The sequence below is a fragment of the Homo sapiens genome, chromosome 4 (assembly GCF_000001405.40).
Source record: "Homo sapiens chromosome 4, GRCh38.p14 Primary Assembly".
Classification (NCBI taxonomy): domain Eukaryota; kingdom Metazoa; phylum Chordata; class Mammalia; order Primates; family Hominidae; genus Homo; species Homo sapiens.
The window spans coordinates 183,821,727-183,847,473 of NC_000004.12; the positions used below are offsets into that span (position 1 = coordinate 183,821,727).

Consider the following 25,747-nt stretch of genomic DNA (forward strand, 5'->3'; position numbering starts at 1 on the left):
GGGAGGGGAGGGGTCCCTGCTGCTCCAGCAGCCTCCCCCTCCACATCCCTGCGGAGCACCCATCCCTGTCCCTGTTCCTGCCGGGCTGCATTCTGACCCCTGCCCCAGGTTTGTGAGTCTGTAGGGTGGGGTTCTAGTCACAGAGTTGGAGCTTAGGATCTAACAGAAATGGATGGGGCTTTAGAAGTCTATGTCCCCCACCCTGCCCTTCCCTAAAAAGGACGCTTGTGTGTGGAAAAGGTGATACAGTTTGTGTCGGGTCTTGCAGCCAGGCTGGCTGGGGGTGCCTAGGTCTCTGGGATTTGCCCTCCTGGGCAGGGTGCTCTGCAAACTTCCCGTCCTGATCAGCCTTTCAGGCCCCGGATTATGGAGTCTCTGCCACCCACGTGCTAGGGAGCATCAAACCCCCATAAGCCACAAGCCTAGATGGGATTCCTGTGCCCTCCAGAGAGGACAGATCCCATCCATGCTGGAGAGTGAGCTTTTAAAAAGCTACTGCTAATGGAACGCTGGCTGTAGCTTAGATTGAGAAGTAACCCATTTATGTATATCATGGTCTCCAACCTTTTTGGCACCAGGGACTGGTTTTGTAAAGGACAGTTTTTCCACAGACTGGCATGGGGGATGGTTTTGGGATGACTCAAGCGCATGACCTTTATTGTGCACTTTATTTCTGTTGTGATTACATTGTTATATATAATGAAATAATTATACACTCACCATCATGTAGAATCAGTGGGAGCCCTGAGCTTGTTCTCCTGCAACTAGACGGTCCCATCTGGGAGACAGTGACAGATCATCAGGCATTAGATTCTCATAAGGAGCACACACCCCAGATCCCTCACATGCGCAGTTCACAAAAGGGTTCACGCTCCCATGACCATCTAACGCTGCCGCGGATCTGACAGGAGGCGCAGCTCAGGTGGCCATCTGAGCGATGGGGAGCAGCTGCAAATGCAGATGAAGCTTCCCTGGCTCGCCTGCCACTCTCCTCCTTCTGTGCAGCCCAGTTCCTAATAGGCCACAGTACCGGTCTGTGGCCCAGGGGTTGGGGACCCCTGTGATATACATGATTGTATTTAATCTTCATGGAAACTCAGTGAGGCTCTTCTTATCTCTATTGTCTAAGAGGCTGAAATTCAGAGAGGTTAAGTATCTTGCTGGAGGTCCAGCTGTGCAGTGCTGAGACCTCAGCCCAGGTCTGCCTGACTCCACGGCTGAGCCTGCACATGGCTCTCCTAGCCTTCCTGTGTCCGACCCATCTGCTGTGCACCTCCTGAGAACCTTCGGGTGCTCTTGAAAGCTTGTATGATCTACGTTTTTCTTTCAATATAAATGTAACCGCAATGATCTAGCGATGATTCTCTCTTTTTAAAACTATCACTTGGGCTGAGCGTGGTGGCTCACACCTGTAATCCCAGCACTTTGGGAGGCCAAGGTGGGTGGATCACCTGAGGTCTGGAGTTCAAGACCAGCCTGGCCAACATGGTGAAACCCCATCTCTCCTAAAAATACAAAAATCAGCTGGGTGTGGTGGTGGATGCCTGTAGTCCCAGCTACTCGGGAGGCTGAGGCAGGGGAATCACTTGAACCCGGGAGGCAGAGGTTGCAGTGAGCTGAGAATGTGCCACTGCACTCCAGCCTGGGCAAAAAGAGCAAAACTCCGTCTAAAAACAAAACAAAAAACAAACAAACCAAAAAACCCCCAACTATCATCTGGAGGCAACAGCTGGCTGTCCAGAAGTAGACTGTTGAAAGGCAAACTGTTACACAATAAAAGACTTTCCTTCCCACTAGCCCATCACATTCCTTAGGCTCATAGACCTGGAAGATGAGGGAATGTGGAGCTGTGCTCTCTGCCCTAATCGTAGTAGCTCTGGTGAGTCACCAGATGTCTGGCCCACAAGAAGTTCCAGCAAAGCACGTCCTCATAGCTCTGGGCCCGAGAGACACCAGTGCCTAAAGGGCTGTCACACTTCCCAGCCCATCTGGCGGAGGCTGCCGCGGGTTTGAAAACTTACCTGATGAGCAGAGGCCTTTCAATTCCAAAGACTTTCACAACTTTCCTGGCGTTTTCCTTGGCTCTTAACATCTGTGCCTCTAGACTGTAAATCCTCTAGGGCGGGGATTTTGTTCTTTGGCACATTTTAGCTATTGTAAAGCATAATGTACAGCATACGTTAAAAACAGTATAACAGCAAGGCAATTTTGTCCTTCAAATGCGGCTTCAGGTCTTGATCTTTTTCCCAGATACGCAGACATGTGTAGCCATGTATCGTAAAATCGGCTACTGAACTTTCTGTGAGAAGTGGTTTCCATGAGATCCATTTGTGGTGTTATTGCAAACTTGGGAAGGCATCAGATGTTAGAACAATTCAGCAGTTGTATACATACAATGGTTTTTTTGAGCTTTAGCTCATAAACCGTCACCTACTTTAAAATAATTTTGGGATTAAAACAATGTAATAATAAATTCATACTGGCCAGAATAGGATAATTTAAGCAGGGATACCCTCATAGCAATTTTTTTTTCTGGGTCATAAAGCTAATACAATATTCTCACCACCTGCTAATGTTCCTCATATTTTATTATAAATTATTTCTCACCGACATTCTACTTTCATTTAAGGCTATTTTACTTTCCTAGGCCTTGGGCCTTGGGTAATTTCGTTAGGTAAATTTCTGTTACATCTGATTTGAAAAGGCACGCTGGAGAGAGGGAAATGGAACGGCCAGCCATCTGGATGAACTCTGAGAGCTTCTCAAATAAACAGCCACAAAGATATTATTGTGTGATTCGTGTGCCCTAAAACTTAAAGTATAATAATAATAAAATTAAAAAAAGATATTATTGTGTGATTATAGAAAAGTTTCTTAATTTGCTGTAAACTGGTAAACAGAAATTATATTTATTTGACATGGGATAAAGTTTTGAGGGAAGCACAGAGTAAAATGTGCATTTTGTAAAAATAACAGAATCTGAACCAATAGAAGATTTATTTAGTATGTATTATGTGATGCACCAATACTAGGCGCCATGGGAGAGGCAGGAGACATCATGCATTTAGTTCCAGCTGCTCAGGACTCAGGGCTTCCCCAGACACGCAGGGCAGCAGACTGTGGCGGGTGGTTAAGTGCCCAGATGGGGGCTTCCAGGCAAGTGCTGTGAGCTCGTGAAGAGAGGGGACCGATAGAGTTCAATTGTGACCCTTGCCCTGGACTACTAAGTGTGCAATCACAAGTGGGTTCTCTTCTTGGCCTGCACAATTGGAATGTCCCCATGTCCCCTATCTCCTCACACAATCTTGGGCTTGGGGATCGGGGAGGAACATGGTGGATAATCCCTGGCTCTTAAGGACCAAGGAGGCTGCTCATCAAAGACACTTGCTGAAAAGAGGCAGAGCTAGGACTGAGCATCCAAGGTCACCCCATGGTGTCAGGAGGTCGTGGTGGATGGTCTCAGGTCCACCATGAGGACGGCTGGGACATTCTTCCAGCTTATTTTGCTTTGAGGATCTTGAGCTAATTATGCATGAGGAGGAGAGGCTGTGGGCGAGGAAGGAAGGACGTGTTCTTAGGAGGGAGATGCAGCTGATGAGGCTTCCCAAGCAGTAGGTTGGGAGGAAGGTGGGCCGGGAGCGGTCAGCCTTCACACAGCTGGGCCATCCCTCGTGTGGCGCGTGCTGCAGATGGCAGCGGTCAGCTCGTGTCATCTCCTAGCATCCCTGGACCGCAAAACAGGCTTGCACTGGGTGGCAGGCAACCTTCAATGGGTGAATAGACGTTCCTTCAGGCCCAAGTGCAGGCAGCCACCCTCGCTGTAGGTGTGTGTGTCCGTGCCTCTGTCCTGCCAACGTGGGTGCAGCGCCCGACCCCTCCCTGCCCGTCCTCTGTGTCCCAGGACTCGCGGTGAAGCCCTGAGCATGGGCTTCCATTGTTATTTTCTGAGGATAGCTTGACAGGACAGGGGCAACCTAGACCTAGTGGAGCAGGAGTCAGGGTCAGCGAGGTGGCTGGGGCTGGACTTTGCCGGGGAGGGGTTCAGATTTAATGCTTCGAGCAGTGGAAAGCTGCTCTGGGCTCCTGAGCACAGGCAGGGTGTGATCAAATCAGTGTTTGGGGAAGTTTAGTCTGGGAACGAGTATGGCAGTCAGTTTGGCAAATGATGGGGAGAAGGCGCGAGAAGGGTCGTTGGCTGTGAGCTGAAAATCGACACCATTTGCAGTCGCTGAAACCTTTGGGTAATCTATCACCTCTTCTTCTGCTCTTTCCTGTTTGTCTAATCTAGAAGTTCTCAGTTTTTAGTGCACAACAGACTCATCGGGAAACAGGTTAAAACACAGACTCCTGGGCCCCACTCCCAGGGACTCTAGCTCAGCAGACCAGGAGTGGGGCTGGGGACCTGCATTTCGTTTTCATTTCGCTCCTCAGATGATTCCAGTGCAGTTGATTCGAGGACCAAGTTTGAGAAAACAAACTCAGCTGCCAGGTTCCATCTGGTTTTGGTCTTTTTTCCCTTTCTGTTGGGGCACTTCTTTCTGTTCTCATCACCACTGCTAGTCCTGACCCCTCCATGGTTTCCCTGAGCCTTGCCCCTCACCGTCCTCATCAGCGAACCTGTTCCCCTGAGAATGGCTTGCTCATCTATCTCAGGGGATACCCAGGCAGCCTCTGGCTCCAGCGACTCCCTGTCCCCGTCACTGGCCTTCGAGGCACAGTTCGTCTTCCCTGTGAAAGCTGCCACTCTGACCTCCCTGCTGAGTAAGTGTAACCTCTCTGCTTTCCATTTCCATGGCTTGTATTCTCTACACCACTTCACTCCTTTCAAATACGAGCCATTAGCTTGTCGAAAGAGCAAGAACTTGGTATCACACAGTCCTGGGACGGCTGCCTGCTAGCAATGTGGCCCTGGCAGGTCACACCATCGCCCTCAACTTCAGTTTTCCCGACCGTGGAATCTGCCCCGCAGGGTTTGCGGAGGCTTAAGTGGGAGAATACACAGTGTCCACTACATAGAATGTGTTTGGACAAATGCTATTTCTCTTTCTTTTCTCTGCGTCTGGAATCGCCAGCTGGACCAAAGACCCTCAGAAGAGAAAGGCTGTGTTTTATGTTCCTCTCTGATCTCAGCATTGAGCTTGCTGCTCAACAGGCAATCATAATGCAAAAGGCAGTGATAGTAGTAGCGGTAATGGTAATAATAGTAATAGCAAATTTATAAGTATTTATGATATGCCAGGCATTACATATAACATGACCTATTTAATCTTCTCAACAGAGCTTTGAGGTATTGGCTGTCATTAACACCATCTGAGGAAACTGAGGCACAGAGTGGTTAGGTGCCCAGGGTCACCTAGCTGCTATGTAGTATAGTCAGTATTTGAACTCAGAAAGTCTGGCTGCAACCACCGTATTTTTATAGCACTGAAATAAAAATAACCCCTATTTTATTGTTATGAAAAATGTCAGTCATTTATAGAAATGGAATAGCATGGGTGCGGTGGCTCACATCTGTAATCCTAGCACTTTGGGAGGCCAAGGAGGGAGCATCGCTTGAGGCCAGGAGTTCAACACTAGCCTGGGCAACACAGCAAGACCCCAGTCTACAAAAAATGAGGAAATTAGCTACGTGTGGTGACACGCACCTGTAGTCTACTAGGGAGGTTGAGGCGTGAGGATTGCTTGAACCCAGGAGTTTGAAGCTGCAGTGAGCTGGGATCATACCACTGCACTCCAGGCTGGGTGACAATGAGACCCTGTCTCTAAAAAAAGAAAATAAAAATAAAAAAACAAAGAATTGGAGGGAATGAGAGAATGAGTTCCTCTTTACTCAGCTTTAATGTAATCAACACATGGCCCATGTTGTTTCATTGGTGCTGTCACCTCTATCTTCACTTTGGGTTATTTTGAAACAAATCTCAGACATCATACTATTGTAAATACAACACATTAGCAATTGTATTTACAATGAACTTGTACATATTTTATAAATAAATTTCAAAAAGATGGGCCAGGAGTGGTGTCACGTGTCTGTAGTCCCAGCTGCTCGAGAGGCTGAGGCAGGAGGATTGCTTGAACCCAGTTCAAAGCTGCAGTGAGCTATGCACACCACTGCATTCCAGCCTGGGTGACAGAATGAAATCCTGCCTCAAAAAAAAAAAAAAAAAGAAAGAAAAAAAGACGGCCTTTATTGCCCCAGTATAACCTCAATGCCATTATCAGACTTAAAAATATCATATTATTGGTAATTCCTTAATACCAGCTATCCTGTTTGTGTTTAAATTTCTCTGATGTTTGCATAAACATTTTTTTACAGTTCATTTGTTCAAATCAGGATCCCAACAAAAGACAGTCTATTTTTGAGAATGAATTTTTAAAGCAAAGTACCTGAAAATGTTGTGTACTTGTTGCACTTTATTCAGCAAATGTTTATTGTGCCCATGTTTGCAAGGCACGGTTTGAGGCTGGAGAAAGAGACTTCCAAGGAGCTGCCAGCTGGCTGTGATGACAGGGTGGACTCGGAAACTGGCAGAGGGTGTTGGCGCATTTTGCCTCTGAAGTCATAAGTTTGGGTGAGTGACACAGCGGTAGAGTCTTGACAGGGCTGGGGAAGGTGGGAGGAAGAAACAGCCCCAGGAAAAGAGGATGGGTGTGGCTCGGGGGATGTGTTTAGATTCTTCAGTCATATTCAGTCTAACATGTCTATTTCCTGTATTTCATTCTTCGTCTCTACCCTTCCACTTGATTTTTCTTGCAAGTTGTTATGTTGGCTTTTCCCCCCTTTATAAAAAAAATGGTCAGGAACTTGGGGAGGTGCATTGAATGATGACAGTGTGTTTGAGTAAAGTAAATGAATGCAGTGGGGTAAATCCATGCTTTTAGGGCATAATCCCAGAGGCGACAGATTTAAGTTTTTAGGTACATGCTTTTATTATTCAGGCTGGCTCTTGGTACTGAAAATGTCTTGACAAATGAGCCAGCATTCAGATAACTGAAAAAATGAACTTCTGTGAAATACTTCTGTTTGCTTTGAAATTATTCATCACTTTGTTTGGGGGACCTTGCCAAATTCAAAGTGGAGTATTGTGATGTACCTTGAGCCTGATGGAGTTTTTTTCTGTATTTAACCAAGATCACACTTTAAAACTAGACAGAGAATCATGGGTACCTTGTAAAAAACCTACCACGGACGCCAGACCTGGTGCTGCAGACACATGTGTTTTGTCAGGTAGATTTAAGTTGTAACAGGCAGAAGAAGGAAAGCAGTTTGGCTTGGGTGCCAACCGGGAGATTAGCAATTTGCTGATTTCAGCTGTTTTATGGCAACATTTATAAAGTTGACTAATTTTCTCCACAGATATTTTGCCAATTAGCATTAAGAAACAAGAGAATTTAGAAATAAACTTTTGCTCTTTTCCTATCCAAAGAAAGTGGTCTTTTGTTTTTAAAAATCTATCATCTTTTTCTTTGATGAGAGAAATTATATTTGAGGCATTTAGTTAATCTGCTATTCTTTGAAACATACACATTCTTATTTTGGAAAAATTAAAAACATTCATCTCTACATTCAACATTCTTTAAGACTGGTGGGATTGTGAGTTGCAGTAGTAGCAGAAAGAAAAGACAGAACGTGGAAAAAAGCCGTTTCCTTTCTCTTTTTGTTGCAACTTCTAGTCCCTTGTCATTTGTTTGTCTTTGTCACACTTGCAGGCCTTTCCAACCCCCAGAATCTAGGGTACTGTTATACATAACTAGAAGACTTCTATGCGCCAGATTATTTAATGCTCCTCATTCCCTTTGCATTTGGTGGCACGTCTCCCTCATGTCTTTGTATTAAACTGTCAGTCACCAGCATAGGTAACACAGTACACTTTAAATTTCTTGTGAAAATCAGCCCTTGGTCACATTGTCTTAGCCATGGGCCAAGGCCTTCAATTCCAGCCCCACCTCAGGAGTTCACAGATAGTGAGTCAATACGTTCCCTGTAATTTTAAGCCAGCTCGACTTGCGGTTTCTGTTACTTGCAACCAGATGCACCTAATGGATCCTGATTGTAATGAACTTTATAATTAGATTTTCTGTTATGTGTTGGAAATGAAACAGAGTAATTCTCCTCTCCTGGCCAAGGAACTTACACTCCCAAAGAGACACGAAGAAAAGTGAACACTTACTGAGCATCTGCTGTGTGTGCTGGGTGTTTCAGAGACATTTCCTCATGGAATGCTGAAGATGGCCATTACTGGGCCTGCTCCCTCTTCTTGCAGGTATGAGTGATGGGGTAGAATCGGCGAATCCTTTAGATCTTTACTGCATTGTTGCTGAAGTTATGCTGATTGTGACTATTTCTGGGCTGTCAATGGATTTTTATGTGGCCCTGAGCACAGTGTCTCAGGGAGGTAGGGCTATTTCCAGTGTCTGAGCAGAACTAATTTCACATCCCCCCCAACAAGGTATCTAGGGTCACCTGGTGCGTTGTTACTTGCTTTTCTGCTAACCTGCTTTCCTTGCACACAGTAGAAAATTGGGCTAGGAGTAACATACTGTTCTAACTATAATTAAAAGAATTCCCCCTCATTGGCCAAGTGCAAGCACATGGGGTTTTTACACTCTCAGTCGACTGAATTACATTCTAGGTGCACTGAGAGTTTGCTACTATGGGTGTTATCTTGTTTTCTGAATTCCACTGGGTGATAAAATGCAACTACAGCTGTGTCCTTCTGTGGGAAGGAGGGAGTCCAGTGAAGTCCTCTGTGCCAGGGCTGGGAGAGATGGTCATGAGGGTTCTTATCCTTTGACCTTAGCCATGACCCCAGGCTGGCTTTACCTTTGACCCTGCCCTTTTGATGTGCCCAGGGCTGGTCTGGCCTGGCTAGTAGTCACTCCTTGTGTGGCAGTTAGCTGAGGGTATATCTGAGGGTGATATAGGGTATATCTGTTGGTTGAAATTAGCTGGGATGAAAACATACCTTTCATCATAGGCCAATGGCTCATTGAAAAGAAATTAGTCATGAACTTCACTGTCAGCTGAAAAGTAGTCATTAAGGGCCCTCCTCCAACAATAGGACACTTGTTCCGGTTTCAGGGTCACCTGATCCACACCAATAGGGGAAGACTGGGGAAGAATGCTGTGCAAAACGTTTTCAGAGGTTGTAACAGGCAGGTCTGCATTTTTAGAATTTTTTTTTTTTTTTTGGCTAGCTGTATATGATTGAACAGTTTTCAGTTTCAAAGTTGCAGGCTTTGGTGTTTAGATCCTTCCTAGGCTGGTGGTAGAAGAATCCTGGGATTCTGGGTTAGTCCTCGGCGGAGATGGCCAAGCACTACATGGGACCGAACTCCGGGCCTGAGCAGCTGGCTTGGAGGGTGTTGGCTTTTCTCCTTCCTGGTGGGTGTGGAGGCGTGAGGGGGGATGGTGGGGGGATGGAAGATTTCAGTGAGAGTTGTTTATTGCTAAAGGTCTACAGGAGAGAAGACGATTTGAAAGGCAGGATACAGTAGGTTAAAAAGGTTGTCCTGTACAGAACACACCCACAGAAATTGCACACATGTAAGGAAAATTGTGGCAGGAAAGAAGCTTGGCTCTTTTGCCTTTCTTCATTTCCGCCCCCAAGTTTGCCTTGAACTTGGAATCTTACGTTATAAACGTTGCCAAATTGCAGCTCCAATCAGGAAACAGATGGTTAGGCAGTACCAGAAAACACAAATAATTGTGGGGACCATGAACATTAGTTCATGAACATTAGAAAACCCTGATGGAAAGTTTAGAACTATGTACATTTTTTTTTTTTTTGGTGAATATCAGACTTAAATAATTGCGAAAAGAATGGTCTAGAAATATTTTGCTAGGTATTAGAATTTTGTGGTACAGTAAACAATTAATCAACTTCTAGTTTATAAAAAATCTGCTGTGCTGTATAATTCTTAAAAATAAATTTAGTCAGTGATGGATGCGCTGAGGGCCCTGACCACCACGAAGCAATAGATCAGGTAGCAAAATGCACTTGTACCCCACGGATATAGACAAAAAACACTAAAAGTAAATACATAGATAAATAAATTTTGTTAAGCTTATCTGCCTTAGTTTCTGTCTAGGTGGCTGTAAACACGCCCTGGTCTCATTTCCGAGGCTTTGTACTTCCTCTTTTCTCTCCTGGGACAGCTCTGCCCAATTTTTCCTGTTTCCAGGCTTTAGTCCCCTTCTCGGCCCCTCCCTGAAGCTTCTTCTGGTGAATTCTGCAGTTCATTCATTTCTTCTTCTTCTTCTTTTTTTTTTTTTTTTTGAGACAGAGTTTCACTCTTGTTGCCTAGGCTGGAGTGCAATGGAGTGATCTTGGCTCACTGCAACCTCTGCCTGCTAGGTTCAAGTGATTCTCCTGCCTCAGCCTCCTGAGTAGCTGGGATTACAAGTGCCCGTCACCATGCCCGGCTAATTTTTGTATTTTTGGTAGAGACAGGGTTTCACCATGTTGGCCAGGCTGGTCTCGAACTCCTGATCTCAGGTGGTCCGCCCACCATGGCCTTCCAAAGTGCTGGGATTATAGGCAGGAGCCACCACACCTGGCCCTGGAGCTCATTCATTTCTATTTGTTTCTGAAAGCAGGGACTCTAAATATTACTAACCCCATTTTGGCTCCTAGTTGTATGCTTATCTCTGTTAGAGAAGACTCTTGAAATTATCTAAGGAATGTAATACTTCATCCAGTTTTTTAAAACTCTAGAAAGCTAGATTCTGCAGCTTCTTAGTAGCCTATAACCGACTCTTTTTTTTTTTTTTTTTTTTTTGAGACGGAGTCTTGCTCTGTCACCCAGGCTGGAATGCAGTGGCATGATCTCGGCTCACTGCAATCTCTGCCTCCTGGGTTCAAGCGATTCTCCTGCCTCAGCCTCCCAAGTAACTGGGATTACAGGTGCCTGCCACCATGCCCGGCTAATTTTTGTATTTTTAGTAGAGACAGGTTTTACCATGTTGGCCAGGCTGGTCTTGAACTCCTGACCTCAAGTGATCCGCCTGCCTTGGCCTCCCAAAGTGCTGGGATTAGAGGCGTGAGCCACCACACCCAGCCTATAACTGGCTCTTACCCTTACTGTCGTTAGGCTCTTCCTCTGACTCTCGGCTCAATTAAAAAGATGAGGTAAACTTTATACACAATCCCTTCATGTATATTTAAGGAACAGTGATGTCTCCTTTTAACTTCACCTCTGCAGACCAAACACTACAGATTCCGTCAAAACCTGTTACAGCATGCTGATGTTTTTCAATCTCCAATAGGAGTATTAGTCAGCTATTAAGAATATTTTGCTAATTTGTTACCAAATATGGATTATCCATGGCGATGGTCTACCTGAAATTTCCCCTGTGAAATGGACATGGTTCAGTGAGTTTGAACATTGATACACTCAGTTCTTAATCGTCTTTCTAAATTCAGTGACAGTTCTTTTTTTATTGCCTAATAACCGCTTGCAAGAAGTCAAGTCCAGACTCTTCCTGATTTTGTAGGAGCGTTTGTGCTTTGCAACCTGCCCCATGATTATGGTGTGACCTGTCAGGATTCCCTTCGTGGTTACTTAGCAGAACGCTTAGGTCTGGCATCATCAAAGAATGTCTAACTCTGCTTGGTAATGATGAAACTGGTGGGGGTTTTTGAATTACTCTTAAAAAGTTATTTCCCCAGGTAAGTTCATAGCCTGGATATTTCCCCACATAAAAGATCAAACATTCCTTAATCTCTTCTCTATATCCCACCCTTTAAGACCTTCAGGTTAGAGAGGAGACATTCTGAAAAAATCCAAATGCAAACAGTGGTATGTCAGAAGAAATGGTTTCAAGTGGTCGCAACAGAGAAATAGCGTTGGCAAGGCGGGATCGGGGCTGATGAAAATGATACAGGCTTTTATATTTCTGCAGGAGTTTTTTTTTTTTTTCATTCCAAGCATACCAGAGTTTCACCAAAGCAGGTAGAAAGAATGTGAGAAGGGCCGGGCGCGGTGGCTCACGCCTGTAATCCCAGCACTTTGGGAGGCCGAGGCGGGCGGATCACGAGGTCAGGAGATCGAGACCATCCCGGCTAAAAACGGTGAAACCCCGTCTCTACTAAAAATACAAAAATTAGCCGGGCGTGGTGGCAGGCGCCTGTAGTCCCAGCTACTTGGGAGGCTGAGGCAGGAGAATGGCGTGAACCCGGGAGGCGGAGCTTGCAGTGAGCCGAGATCCCGCCACTGCACTCCAGCCTGGGCGACAGAGTGAGACTCCGTCTCAAAAAAAAAAAAAAAAAAAAGAATGTGAGAAGGTGTTGTCACAAAATCCAGGCATGAGTGTATTTCTCCTCCTTAGAGCCAGCCTCTTCTGGCAAGCCATTGGATCTCTTCAAGCCTCAGCTTCTCCATCTATAGAATGGCTACAGCAGTGTTACTTGCTTCCCAGGAGAGGAGCATTCCATCAGCAGTAAAGCATTCATTGATCTTCCTTTTGTTTCTCTGTCACAGCCTGGCATGGTCCCAAAATATTGTAGTAATCAATGTGTTTTGAATTAATGGGTTTCTAAATATTCCCATGCTTCACACAGACCGTTTTGGATCTCTGAAGTTTTGCACCGTGCAGCCTGTTAGGCAGTTGATCAACCTGTGACTACCTTGTTTGTGGCTTATTTTCCCCAGCCAGAGCAGCCCGGATCTGCTGGCAACCTGGCAATCTTTGTTGTGAGAGGTTAACACAATTCCTACAGTCTGCACAAGCAGGAGGTGGAGTGGAGGTGGGAGAGGTGCGGAGTTGGAATGGCTCCCAGGCTGCCGTCTTGGCTCGTGTGAGTCAGTGGCATGGAACACGCAGGTTCTGTGCATTTATATAAGGGAAGGAAGGCTGTTGGCTCTACATTCTATATATTCCCCAGTTGTCGCTCAGAATAGTCATGAAGATCCGTGCCTATTCCATGTTCTTTTGGTCTTACAATGATAGTCATATTAGGCAAAGAGAACACAAAGTCTCTTGAACATTAGCTGCTTGCCTTGAATTTCAGTGTGACGCATTCATTCATTCCATTTATTCATTCAAGAAGCAATATTTAGCACTTACTCTGTGTCAGGTACTGTGCTAGGAACTGAGATTCCTACCTCAAGAAACTTCAAGTTTACAGTGGAAGAGACAGGTAATCTTTGTGATCCAAGGTTACTGAAGCAGTGAGATGTGGGCCAGGTGCTCTGGGGAACCTGTGGATGAGCCAAGAATTTCCGATGTTGGGGCTGGGGTGGATAGGAAGGATGCACAGAGCAGAAGATCTTTAGAGTTTGATGCAATACAGTGTCGTGGAGAGGAAACATAGTGTCTTGAAGGAGAGCATAGGTGAGATTGAATTCTAGCTCCTCTTCTTAACAATTACGTGACCCTCAGGCAAGTTACCTATTTTTTTTTTTTTTGAACTTCAGCTTTTTCATCTGAGAATAGGCAAAGAAGATAATAAGATAATAATGTCCTAAGACTTCATCATAGTGTCTGGCAACCAATAGATTTTTTTTTTTTTTTGAGACGGAGTCTGGCTCTGTTGCCCAGGCTGGAGTGCAGTGGCGCAATCTCAGTGCACTGCAAGCTCCGCCTCAAGGTTCATGCCATTCTCCTGCCTCAGCTTCCCGAGTAGCTGGGACTACAGGCGCCCACCACCACACCCGGCTAATTTTTTTGTATTTTTAGTAGAGACGGGGTTTCACCATGTTAGCCAGGATGGTCTTGATCTCCTGACCTCGTGATCCACCTGCCTCGGCCTCCCAAAGTGCTGGGATTACAGGCGTGAGCCACCGTGCCTGGCCAAACCAATAGATTTTTAATTAATTAATTAATTAATGTCCAGTAATAGTTTTTAAATATGTTAATTAATTAATGTCTGTCTGTTTTCAATCTCTTCCTCTTATTGTTCCTCACATTGTTACTGGAGGCAAATTATTACAATAGAAAGAACACTAGAATTGGCTCTGCCACCAGCCTACTGTGTGACTCCAGGGATGCAGAGCTAGTCACACCTCCCTGTAGACCTCCTGTGGGATCTGTGAGGGGAAAGATCTGGGTTGACTTGTTTCCAGTTTTTGGCTATTAAGAGTAATGCAGCTACAAACATTCCCTACAAGTCTTTGTGTGACATATGTTTTCATTTCTCTTGGGTATACACCTAGGAGTGGAATTGCTGGGTCGTATGGTAACTCCATGTTTAACCTTCTGAAGGACTTCCAGGCTGTTCTCACATGGCTGTACCATTTTACAATCTCACCAGCATTGTGTAAGGGTTCTGATTCCTCTCCATCCTCACCAACACTTGTTACTGCCATTTTTTTTTTTATCTGAGCCATCCTAGTGGGTGGAAAGTGGTATCCACTGCAGTTTTGATTTGCGATCTCCTGGTGACTAATGATGTTGAACGTCTTTTCATGTGCTTTTTGGCTGTTTATCATAGCCTTTGGAGAAATGTCTGTTCAAATCCTTTGCCCATTGTGAGAGTCATTGACTTTGGTATTTGTTGTTTGGACTCTCCTTCTCCTGGCTTGTGGAGATTGCTTTATCCTCTGAGGTTGCACCGCAGATCCTCTTCTGCAAGTCAATGGGTATGGTTGTGGTGTAGCGGGTTTCAGCAGCAACAGTGGTCTGAGGACCACTAAAAATAAACATAAGGAGTGTCACTACGTTAGCAGCATAGGCTGTTTTATGCTGAAATAACGTCTCAGTGGCTTAACACATTAAGCCTCATTTCTTCTTCTGCAAAGTCTATGCTCCAGGCTGCTGCAATCTTAGGGCACGACTCTACTTTCTATGAATGTGAACAATGTGAGGGGACTCAGGGGCTTTTTGATGCCTCAGCCATTATCCAGACCCCATCACATGGCCCCATACAATGGGAAGGGATCTGGGAAGTGCAGTCTTCCATGTCCTGGGAAGGGGTGACCTGGTATTAGTGAGCATCAGCAGTGTCCATCGCAGTCACCGTCTCCCATTTCGTGGCAGGGTCAGTGACTTCTCGTGACAGCCTCATGAAGGTGAAAAAGCAGGGATACTATTAGACACTCTGATATTGGAAATCTCCTAGTTGGCTCAGTGGAACTACAAAACTTCACTTAGGGACACTAAGATTCATCTGGAATATTTGCTTCTAATTTGACTATACAGGTTTGGTACACCTTGGAATGGATTGTCTTTTCTGTCTTTTATATAATAATTCCAGGAAGACGGTGTTTTGAGTTCCTACTGTGTGCCAGTATTGTACTGTGTGCTGCTTATACAGGATTAATTAGAGCACATCCCTGCTTCTTAGGACTCATACACGTAGCACTGTACAAGAGTGGGGATAAACACATAGACTGACATCTATGCTGGTGAGTGAAGATTAGTAGCAGGAGGAAAGACTTCTGGGAGCAGAAATGGGGGAATCCTTGGAGCTTTCTCGGGGAGTGGGGAAGAGCATCCCAGGCCATTCCCTTTATTTTTAATTGTGGAAAAATATACATAACCCTTCATATAGATCATTTAAATCATTCATAAGTGTACAATTCAGTAACATTAAATACATTCACAATGTCATGTAACCATCACCAATATCTATACCTATTAAATAAGAACTCCCATCCCCTGGCACCCTTTATTCTACTTGCTGCCTTATGGAGTTTCCTATTCTAGGTACTTCCTATAAGTGGAATCATACAGTATTTGTCCTTCTGTATCTGGCTTATCTCACTCAGCATGCTATTTTCAGAGTCCGTGCTTTTTTTTTTTTCTTTGAGATAGAGTCTCTCTCTGTCACTCAGGCTGAAGTGCAGTGGCACAATCTTGACTCACTGCAACTTCTGCCTCTCGGGTTCAAGTAATTTTCCTGCCTCAGCCTCCCACGTAGCTGGGATTACAGACGTGCACCACCACGCCTGGCTAATTTTTGTATTTTTGGTGGAGATGAGGTTTCACCATGTTGGCCAGGCTGGTCTCGAACTCCTGGCCTCAAGTGATCCCCCTGCCTCAGCCTCCCAAAGTGCTGGGATTACACATGTGAGCCACCGCACCTGGCCTCCACGCATGTTGTAGCACATATTAAAATTTCATTCCTTTTCAAGGCTGAATAATAAATACTCCATCGTGTGTGTATACCAAATTTTGTTTATCTGTTCATCTGTGGATGGAGCCTTGAGTTGTTTCCACTTTTTGGCTATGATGCTGCTGTGGACGTGGGTGTGCAGATGTGGGTGTCTGTTCCAGTGGCACTCACTTTTTTAGGAAAATTTTACCTTGAGTTCTGAGATAGCACATATTCATTGTGGATTAGTTAGAAAAATACAGAAAATTAAAATTAAAACAGAAAATCACCGCTTTTGTATTTAGTGATAATTTTTACGGTAAAAATATGTTAAATTTATCTCCTTTTTTCTCTTTAAATATTTCAATAAATATATTGACTAGATTTTTAGTATTTATTATTTTTATTATTTAATTTATTGAAATATTTAAATAATTCAATACATATATTGAAATACTTAAATAATTCAATACATATATTGAAAAACTTAAATAATTCAATACATATATTGAAATACTTAAATAATTCAATACATATATTGAAATACTTAAATAATTCAATACATATATTGAAATATTTAAATAAATGAAATTTGTTAAATAAATAAATACATAAAATATTTCAAATATTTTTAATGACCATAAACAATACTTTTATGGGTGTGTCTTGATTTATTATTTCATTACTTTTAGATAGTTTTGAGATTTATTATAAATTACATCGAGATGAACATATCTATATAAATCTTTGTTGATAAATCTGTTATTTACATAAAAATGAAGCTACTACATCAAAGATATGAGCAAATCAAGTTGCTTATCACAAATGGCCGATTACTTTGTGAGAGTTTTGCCACAGCCTCGCCAGTGTGTGAGTCCCCATGTCCTTAAAGCAGCACAGTAATGCTCTTGCTCAAAACTGTGCTTCCCATTCCAGGGGTTTTGGCCTCTCTCTGCAGCCCCCACTTGGGGCACCCATTGTGGATGGGTGGAGACTGACTGTTGAGGAGAGTGTGCCTTGTTTAGTTATATACAAGTGGCTCTCAAGCCTTTGTTCTGCCTCCACCTCCTCCACGTGGTTACACACTCATCACCAGTGAGTCTCATTTCTTGCAGAAGTCTTCACTTTGGAGAGAGGTATATATGAGCAGTTTCTGGTAAGCATTTGAGAATCACTGATTGTGCTAGCCAGAGAAAGAGAACCAATAAGATGCAGTAAGATGTGTGTACACACACACAGGTACACGTGCACGCGCGCGCGCACACACACACACACAGGTACACATGCACACACACACACACACACACAGAGAGCAGGCCAGGTTGGAGACCCAGGGAAGAGTGGGTGCTGCAGATCCAATCCAAAGGCAGTTGGCTAGCAGAGTTCCCTCTTCCTTGGAGGAAGTCAGTCTTTTTCTCTTAAGGCCTTTGATTGGACGAGGGTCACCCATATCATGGAAGGTAATTTGCTTTATTCACAGTCTACTGGCTAAGTGTTAATGTCATCTGAAAGAGTCACAGAGACATCTAGACATCTAGGTGTCAGATCAAATATGTGGGTACCGTGACCTAGCCAAGTTGGCAATAAAATTAACCATCACACTGATCCGAAAAGTTTGGGTGCCACTGACTTTAACGTTCTCCTGCATATAGGCAAGAATTAAAACACACACACAACAAAAGTTTATTTTTACTCTGAACCACTTGAGGGCACCATGAACGAGGGAAATGGAAAGTTGTGGCTCATCCGCTGTTCCTTTTAGAACAACCAGCATTAGTACTACAGGAAACCTGAGGGGATTTCTCCATGCGAGTCCCTAATTTTGCAGTTGAGAAAGTTACTGTGACTGTGTGCAAGTCTACAGGGCAAAGTAATAGAGTGAGTGAATGAGGCCAGAACGCGAACTGTGTCCTCTTGACTTTGCATTTCATGTTCTTTTTCGGACATTCTGATAATTTCTATTAATTAATAATGGAAAGAATTTGAAATATATGTGAGTTGTTTTGGTTCCCATAAGTTACATATGGTGATGTGGCACCTAATGTTGTGCAGATTGCATGAGTAAAGAATCCATTTAACTTTTAAACATCAATTATGAAATGATAAACTTTCGGATTTACAAATATTGTTGATACTGAGTCTGTAGCGAGTTTTGGCCAACGCTCTAAGGGTTTTGTTTGTTCTTCCTTTTGTAAAATGTTGCCTTCGAGTAACACAAAGGCCTGTGGTCTGTGAACACTCAGCGTGCAAGGATTTCTTTGTTTTTCATGGACTCTGTGTGTGTGTGCGCGTGTGTGTGTGTGTGTTGGTTGTGGGGGCAAGAACTAGGGGAAAAGGGATGCCAAAAAATGTAAGCATGTAGTTTTTCTCCGCTTTGTTGTGAAAACAAAATTGATAATGTAACTTTTGGAATCAAGTCTTTTGTATTTAGATTGGAACGTTCTAATACCTTATTGTTACAAATAGACAATGTGTCTGAAAAGCTGAATTTTTGAGAGTGGATGGATTATTTAAAATAATGATTCTTAACCCATTTGTACAATTCTGTGTTCTGTTACAAATGTCTTTTCTTTGTCCATGTAACAGTCAATTCCTGTTCTCTGAAGGAGGAATTCTCTCGGTAATTTCTGAGCCCTTCTTTAGGTGGTTGGCCACCAGGGGGCAAGCGAAGAATGGCAGAAGCCATCTGACGTAGCCCCTTCATCACTGCAGATAAACTGGTGATGCTTTCCTGACACACTTAATGGCAACCAGAGGTTTTCTGCACGTTTGTGTTTGTGTGTAAGTGTGTGGGGTGAGTGTGTGGCAGTGGTTATTTGCTGTATTTTGACTGCATAAAATTGCCATGCTTTCCCCTCGGTCTCCTAGAAATCCTTGTAGGATAATTATAACACAAGAAACAGATTTGATGGAAATTCTCATAATTCTCATACTCTGAAGCTTAGCTCATATGCATATTTCAGACTTGCCAGAGCCCCTCTTCAGTGGCTTGAGACTTGGTCTTAATCTTTTTGTCTGACTACAAAAAAAGTTCAGTGATGTGGTTAGTGTGTTCTTAGAGACACTGCACACTGTGGATCTGCGGGAGAGAGTTTCACTCATTGTATTCTGTTATTTTTTTTGAGACAGGGTCTCACTCTGTTGCCCAGGCTGGAGTGCTGTGGCGGGATCTCAGCTCGCTGCAATCTCCGCCTCCTGGGCTCAAGCAATCCTCCCACCTCAGCCTCCTGAGTAGCTGGGATTACAGGTGCACACCACTACATCCGGCTAATTTTTGTATTTTTAGTAGAGATAGGGTTTCACCATGTTGCCCAGGCTGGTCTCAAATTCTTGGGCTCAAGTGATCTGCCCGCCCCGACCTCCCGTGCTGGGATTACAGGCGTGTGTCACCACGCCCGGTTCAGTTTTCATCGTAGTATTTATTTATTTATTTATTTATTTATTTATTTATTTATTTATAGACAGGTTCTAGCTGTGTGGCTCAGGCTTGAGTATGGGGTGTGATCATAGCTTACTGGAGACTTAGCTTCCTGGGTAGCTAGTACTATAGGTGCATGCCACCACACCAGGCTAGTACTGTAGGTGCATGCCACCATACCAGGCTAATTATTATTACTATTTTTTATTTTTAGAGAGACAGGAACTTGCACTGTTACCCAGGCTGGTCTTATATTCCTGACCTCAAAAGATGCTCCCTCCTCGGCCTCCCAAAGTTCTGGGATTACAGGCTTGAGCCACTGTGCCACGCCGTAGTATTATGAAATCATCAGAACCCTTGGTAGCGTGCGATTTCTTCCTCCATCTCTTGTGCTCAGCCTGCTTCTTATTTTAAAATGAGGTTCATTTGTAAGTTGCCTTGCTCACTATTTTTGAACATTTAAAACAACTTTTTAGAATAGGTAAGAAGTTGAGAAAATAGAGACAGAAAAAAATACACAGCTTATTAAGGCATTCCAAAATACATGCCAGATGATTATACAGAGCAACTCTTATTTTAGGAATTTCTTATTGGATGAATGATGAAATCAAATACTAAGTTGGCTTTGCATAATCAAGATATTGGAAAATAGTGGGTAAGGTAAATGCTTATGGTGGGAATTTAATTTTCCCATAGAGTCATACAATTTGAAAGAGTCATTTATATGGGAAAAAAAAACTTGACTGTGGAATTATTAATACCAGCCTTACTTTCAGCAAGGGCTGTGTCCTTGCCAGTGTGTGGCTTAAGTAATGAATTTCCTCATATAATCCCTGTAAGAAAAGTTAGATGGATAATGAAGCCACTTGATCCTTTCATGCTCATTGCCACATATATTCATTAAAATATCACACAGGTAATTCCTCATTTCCCTAGTAGCTCTTACCACCTTTCCAGATTTGAGTGTTGAAGAGACCAGTCTTCTTACTGGCTGCCCCAGGCATTCAGCAAAACTCAGTCTTTGTAGGAATGTCTTAGATCTGCTTTTTTAGATGGAACCTAGTCTATATCAGTTTACTAGTTCCATACGACGTGGCTAAACTCATTTTTCAGATGCTTTGAATGGAGTATAGAAGACTATTGCTTTACTAAAAAAGCAAACATGAAAACTTCAAGCCTCACAGTCAGCTCCTATCAATTTCCCTTTAATTACCTCCTCAAGTACCTGTTAATGGCTCATTAGTTATAAAAATAAATTATAGGTACTCTGCCACCCTGTTTGTAGTTTCTTTAGTTTTTGATTTCGCTAACCCCAGGAAAATGGATGTGTGGCAATAATACAGGAATGTGAATCAAATTGCTCTGTAATTTTATATATTTAATAAAGTATACAGCAGGGCCGTGTGCACATGGGGTTAAGCTGTGGTGGAGGAAAGTGCTCTGTGAGAAAACTGAAGTCCTCATACACCATGTTGGCTGCCTATGTTTCATTTCACGACATAGTGCTCAGCAAATAGGGCTGATTGGTTTTCAGTCCGGTTTTGTGTGGTTTTAGGTTCATAATGGTTCCTTTTCATATATGGCCTTTGAAACTTGCTTGACACTGCAGTCATCTCTCATAGATAAAATAGGTCACAGTGAGTTTTAAATTCTTTTTTTTTTTTTTTGAAATAAAAATGTTATTCAGGCCGGGTGTGGTGGCTCACGCCTGTGATCCCAGCACTTTGGGAGGCCAAGGCGGGTGGATCACAAGGTCAGGAGTTCAAGACCAGCCTAGCCAAGATGGCGAAACCCCATCTCTACTAAAAAATACAAAAATCAGCCAAGCATGGTGGCAGGTGCCTGTAATCCCAGCTACTCGGGAGACTGAGGCAGAGAATTGCTTGAACCCAGGAGGCAGAGGTTGCAGCGAGCCAAGATCGCGCCACCGTACTCCACCCTGAGAGACAGAGCGAGACTCCATCTCAAAAAAAAAAAAAAAAGAAAAAGAAAAAGAAAAAGAAAAATGTTTTTAAAATAAAATTGCAGGTGGTATCCCAATCTGCAAGGATAAAAGCAGAATGACTCTTTTTGGGAGGAGGGAGAAGAATCTCAGAACCTTGGCCACACAGTTCACACAGAGACGTCACCCTGACCCGTAGGACTCCGCAGAACTCAGTGTGAAAAACACCAAAATAGAAGATGAAATCATTTTTATGCTTAAGTACTAAATATTTCCACTCAATTTTTAGACTTGTTCAGCCACAAATGTAGACAGAAACATTGTGTACCTTCCTGGGCACTGAACTTTAGATCAGGAGTTGGCAAACTTTTTCCACAGAGGGCTAGATAGTGTATGCTTTCGACTGTGGGGCCATATGGTCTCTGTCACCACTACTCAGCTCTGCTGCCGTGGCACAAAAGCAGCCAGGGACATTATGGAAATCGCATGAGCGTGGCTGTGTTCCAGTAAAGCTCTGTGCATGCCAAAATTTGGATTCCATATAATTTTCACATATGATGAAATATTGTTTTGATTTTTTCTGATTTTAGCAAAAAGATACTCTCGGCTCTTTTTCTTCTTTGAGTTTTAGTTATTATAAAGGTAATACCATGAAAGAACATTTCAAAAGGATGAGAAACTCATCTTTAATTCCATAATCCATGTTCTTTTCTTCATACGTCACTGTATCTTATAATAATTGTAATTATAGTTGACCCACAGTTCTGTACTTTTGCTTTTACTTACTTAATTTTTTATACGTAAATCATAGTTTATGTAGTGTAGGTGTAAAATTCTGAAAATAAATTATGTTTACTTTTCTTTAATGTTACTTATTTAATTGCATCTACTCCCAGTGTTCTTCTACCCAATCCGAATTTCTAATCTTTTTAAAAGCAATCTAATAATTGTTTCTTAAAAAAACAAAATTATTATTCAATTTGGTGAATTTGTATTTGTTGGTATTCTGGAATATAAATCTCTGAAAAAGGGACACCCCATTGCAAGTAGATATGAGGATGGCAGTCATTTTCTTCCTCCAACCCTTAACACTGTCTTGGAGAGTTCCCATGTTCCGGTTGAATATTTTGGTACTGAAAAATGTCTTCAGGAAAGCAACAATTGTTTTCCTAGAAAAAAAACCTGAGAACTCATTTCTCTCTTTAGGTTGCCTGACATTTGTAGCTGAGTGAAACCATGGTGAGCATTGATTTATTTTACTATAAAATTATCAGTTTTACTCACTCAAACAATCCTTTTATATTAAAAATATTTTAAAAATAAAAGCAGGGTATTGTTTTGCTTTACTAAATGGAGTCACCTCTTTTTCTCTTACTTTTGACAATTTGGTTGTCAAATTGTGTGAATTGTGAAAAAATAGCCCTGAGTACAGAGAATTTTTACCTCAGGGATATCAAAAAAGTCATGTTAGTAATAAAATAAGCCATTGATTGTGTTAAAACTCAAGGTGGGTCATTTAATTGCAGTTATTAAAAAGTTCTTTCATTATTTACCTCTGGGAGAGACTGTAGGTAGGACTGTAAGATTATTAATGAAAATGCGTGTAGATTGGTTTAAATGATTCAGCTTCATCTCACCAAGGAGTTAGCATGTTCATTCATTTTACAAAAGTGTATTGAGCACCTCGCCTACTATGTCTTGAGTAATTTGTTAGACATACAAAGTTGACTAAAACATGGACTCTGACCCCAAGGCTAAAATGTTATTTCACATGTGCACAGTGCTTTACAGATTACAAATGACATCATTACATCCTCATAAGAATCTCATGAAGCAGATGTTGGTTCCATTTCATTCATGATGAAACTAAAACATAGAAAACATAATAGTCTCCCCAAGGCTGCCTGTAGCACAGTTCCTTAGATTCCCAATCAGGTGACCTTTCCAAACTGTAGAGATGGCTCTATAATAGTTTAAAAAGGAGAGATAAGAAATGTCCACCATAGGTAAATACAAAATAGACAGTAATACGTACAATCACAGAAGTTCAGCTAAAGTGGTACAGGAGTCCAGAAGACGGAGAGATGGCTTCTGGGTAGGGGATGGATAAAGGGCATAAGGACTAGGGATAGGGATGGATGGACTGTGCACTTTCAGGGCAGGGGAAGATCATTCCATCCAGAGCCGGAAAAGCTTCAGAAAAGCTTAAGCCAGGTGGGATATGGCATGGGAAGAATGGAAATAGGAACAGTCAGTGGTTCAATTTACCTTGAAGATAGAATATATCACATGGAATTATTAGAGATGAGGACAAAAAGATGGAAAAGAAACACATCTTCCAGGTCTTTGATGCCAGGCCATAAAGCTTGAATTTTTTTTTGCTGGAAGTGGAGAGCCATCTGAGGCTTCTAAGCAGAAGTGTGCTAATCTGGCAGCAGTTTTGAACAAGGGAGTTGCAAACTCACATACCTGTAAAGGCCATGAAGATAATAGAGAAGTGATGTGGAGAGGATACAGCAAAAAGAGAAGTATTCTCCAGGGGACCATCCACCATTCAATGCTTTGGGAATGCAATCTCTCATTCTGCTGCAGATTTACAGTTCTCCTCTGCATATGTGCTTTATTAAGTTACATCTTTATACGATGTGTTCCCATTGACATAGATTTGTAACTTTTATGTGGTTATGTTTTAAATCTTACAGAAAAAAGGAGTTAATAGTCAAATATACTTTAATACTGACTTTTATATGTACTTATGTAGTGTACTTATAATATGTACTTAACAGTGTTCTTTATTTCTTCGTGCATATTGAATTATTGTCTAGTATTTTTTCATTTCAACCTGAAGGATTTTTTGTAGGGCAGGTTTACTAGTGACAAACCCTCTTGAGTTTTTGTCTATCTTGGAATGCCTTAATTTCTTCTTCAATTTTGAAGGATAGTTTGCTGAATATAAAATTCTTAATGGACAGTTTGTTTTCTTTCAGCACTTTGCATGTCATCCTATTGCCTTCTGGCCTCCGTGGCTTCTGATGAGAAATTAACTGTTAATCTTACTGTGTATACCTTGTGACAAGGCTGTTTTCTCTTGCTGCTTCCAGGATTCTCTTTTTGTATTTCGACAGTTACATTATAATGTATCTTGTTTTGGACTTGTGTGAATTTATCATGCTTGGAGTTTGTTGAGTTTGTTGAATGTGTAGATTCATGCTTGGCCATTATTGCTTCAAATATTCTTTTGCCCTTTTTCTCTCTCCTCTCTTTGTGGAACATCACGTTGGTGTGCTTGATGGTGTTCCACAGGCCTCTTTGGTTCTGTTTATTTTTCTTCATGTTTTAATTTTTGTTCTTCAGATTGGGTAATCTCGATTGACCTATCTTCAAGTTTGCTGATTCTTTCTTCTGTCTCTTTAAATCTGCTATTGAACACTGAAGTTTGCTTATGGTACTTTTCAACTCCAGAATTTCTTTATGGTTTCTTTTTATAATTTCTGCGTGTTTATTGATATTCTCTATTTTGTGAGACATCATTCTCATGATTTCCTTTAGTTGCTTGTATATTTTTTTCTTAAAGCATTTCAACATATTTAAAATAGTCAATTTAAAATCTTTGCCTAGTAAGTTCAATAGCTTCCTCAGAGACAGTTTCTATTCATATCTTTTCTTTTTTTCCTGTGCGTGGGTCATACTTTCTTGCATGCCTTGTAATTTTTTTTTTGAAACTGGGTTTTGAATATTGTAATGTGATAACTCGGGTAGTCAGATTCTTTCTGATTCTCAGGACTTGTTGCACCTGCTTATTGTGGTTGCTGTTTCTTTGTTTAGTGACTTTTAGAAACTAATTTTGTTAAGTTCTGCCTTCTTTGTCATGTATGTCCATGGAAGCTTATGTTTGGTTAGCTTAGCAATTTGACAAAGATTCCCTCAAACATCTGGAACAAAAACAGAAAAAAGAATCAGAGAGCCAGTGTGCTGTGTGTATTAGGTTATGCCTTCAACCCTCAGCCATACAATTCCCAACTCTGCCTTAGCCTTCACTTCCTGCTTGTGCAGAGCCTGAAAGTCAGGCAGAAGTGAGAGCTCAGTGCCATCTCAGGTCTATTCTGAGCATATGCCCTACCTTTAGCATGTATATGGGCTTCTAGAATCCCAGGATTACATGGGAACTTTTCAAAGTCCTTATATGGAAAAGTATGTAACTCCCTAGCCTTTCCTTTTAGGTTTTTTTGCTATCTGTTGTTTGCCCCAATTTGTATTTCTTTGCCCCAGGTGTCAGCAACTAAGTCATGTGTTTTTAATGAGTGACAAATGTTTATTGGGTAGTCACTTCACCACCCAGGGAAAGTTCTG

The 25,747-nt window shown here is 42.4% G+C and overlaps 1 protein-coding gene across 2 annotated transcripts in view, besides 2 other annotated features; it reads left to right on the top strand.

Annotated features, from left to right (window-relative positions):
* STOX2 (storkhead box 2) overlaps nt 1-25,747 on the top strand; it is a 225,509-nt gene that overhangs the window by 23,705 nt on the left and 176,057 nt on the right. The window lies entirely within an intron of this gene.
* Nucleotides 3,255-3,755: an enhancer, noted in NCBI's record as "H3K4me1 hESC enhancer chr4:184746134-184746634 (GRCh37/hg19 assembly coordinates)". NCBI's record gives its function as "activates a minimal SCP1, AML or CMV promoter by ChIP-STARR-seq in naive H9 embryonic stem cells {active_cell/tissue: H9 hESC(naive)}" and the evidence as "EXISTENCE:reporter gene assay evidence [ECO:0000049][PMID:30033119]".
* Nucleotides 3,756-4,256: an enhancer, noted in NCBI's record as "H3K4me1 hESC enhancer chr4:184746635-184747135 (GRCh37/hg19 assembly coordinates)". NCBI's record gives its function as "activates a minimal SCP1, AML or CMV promoter by ChIP-STARR-seq in naive H9 embryonic stem cells {active_cell/tissue: H9 hESC(naive)}" and the evidence as "EXISTENCE:reporter gene assay evidence [ECO:0000049][PMID:30033119]".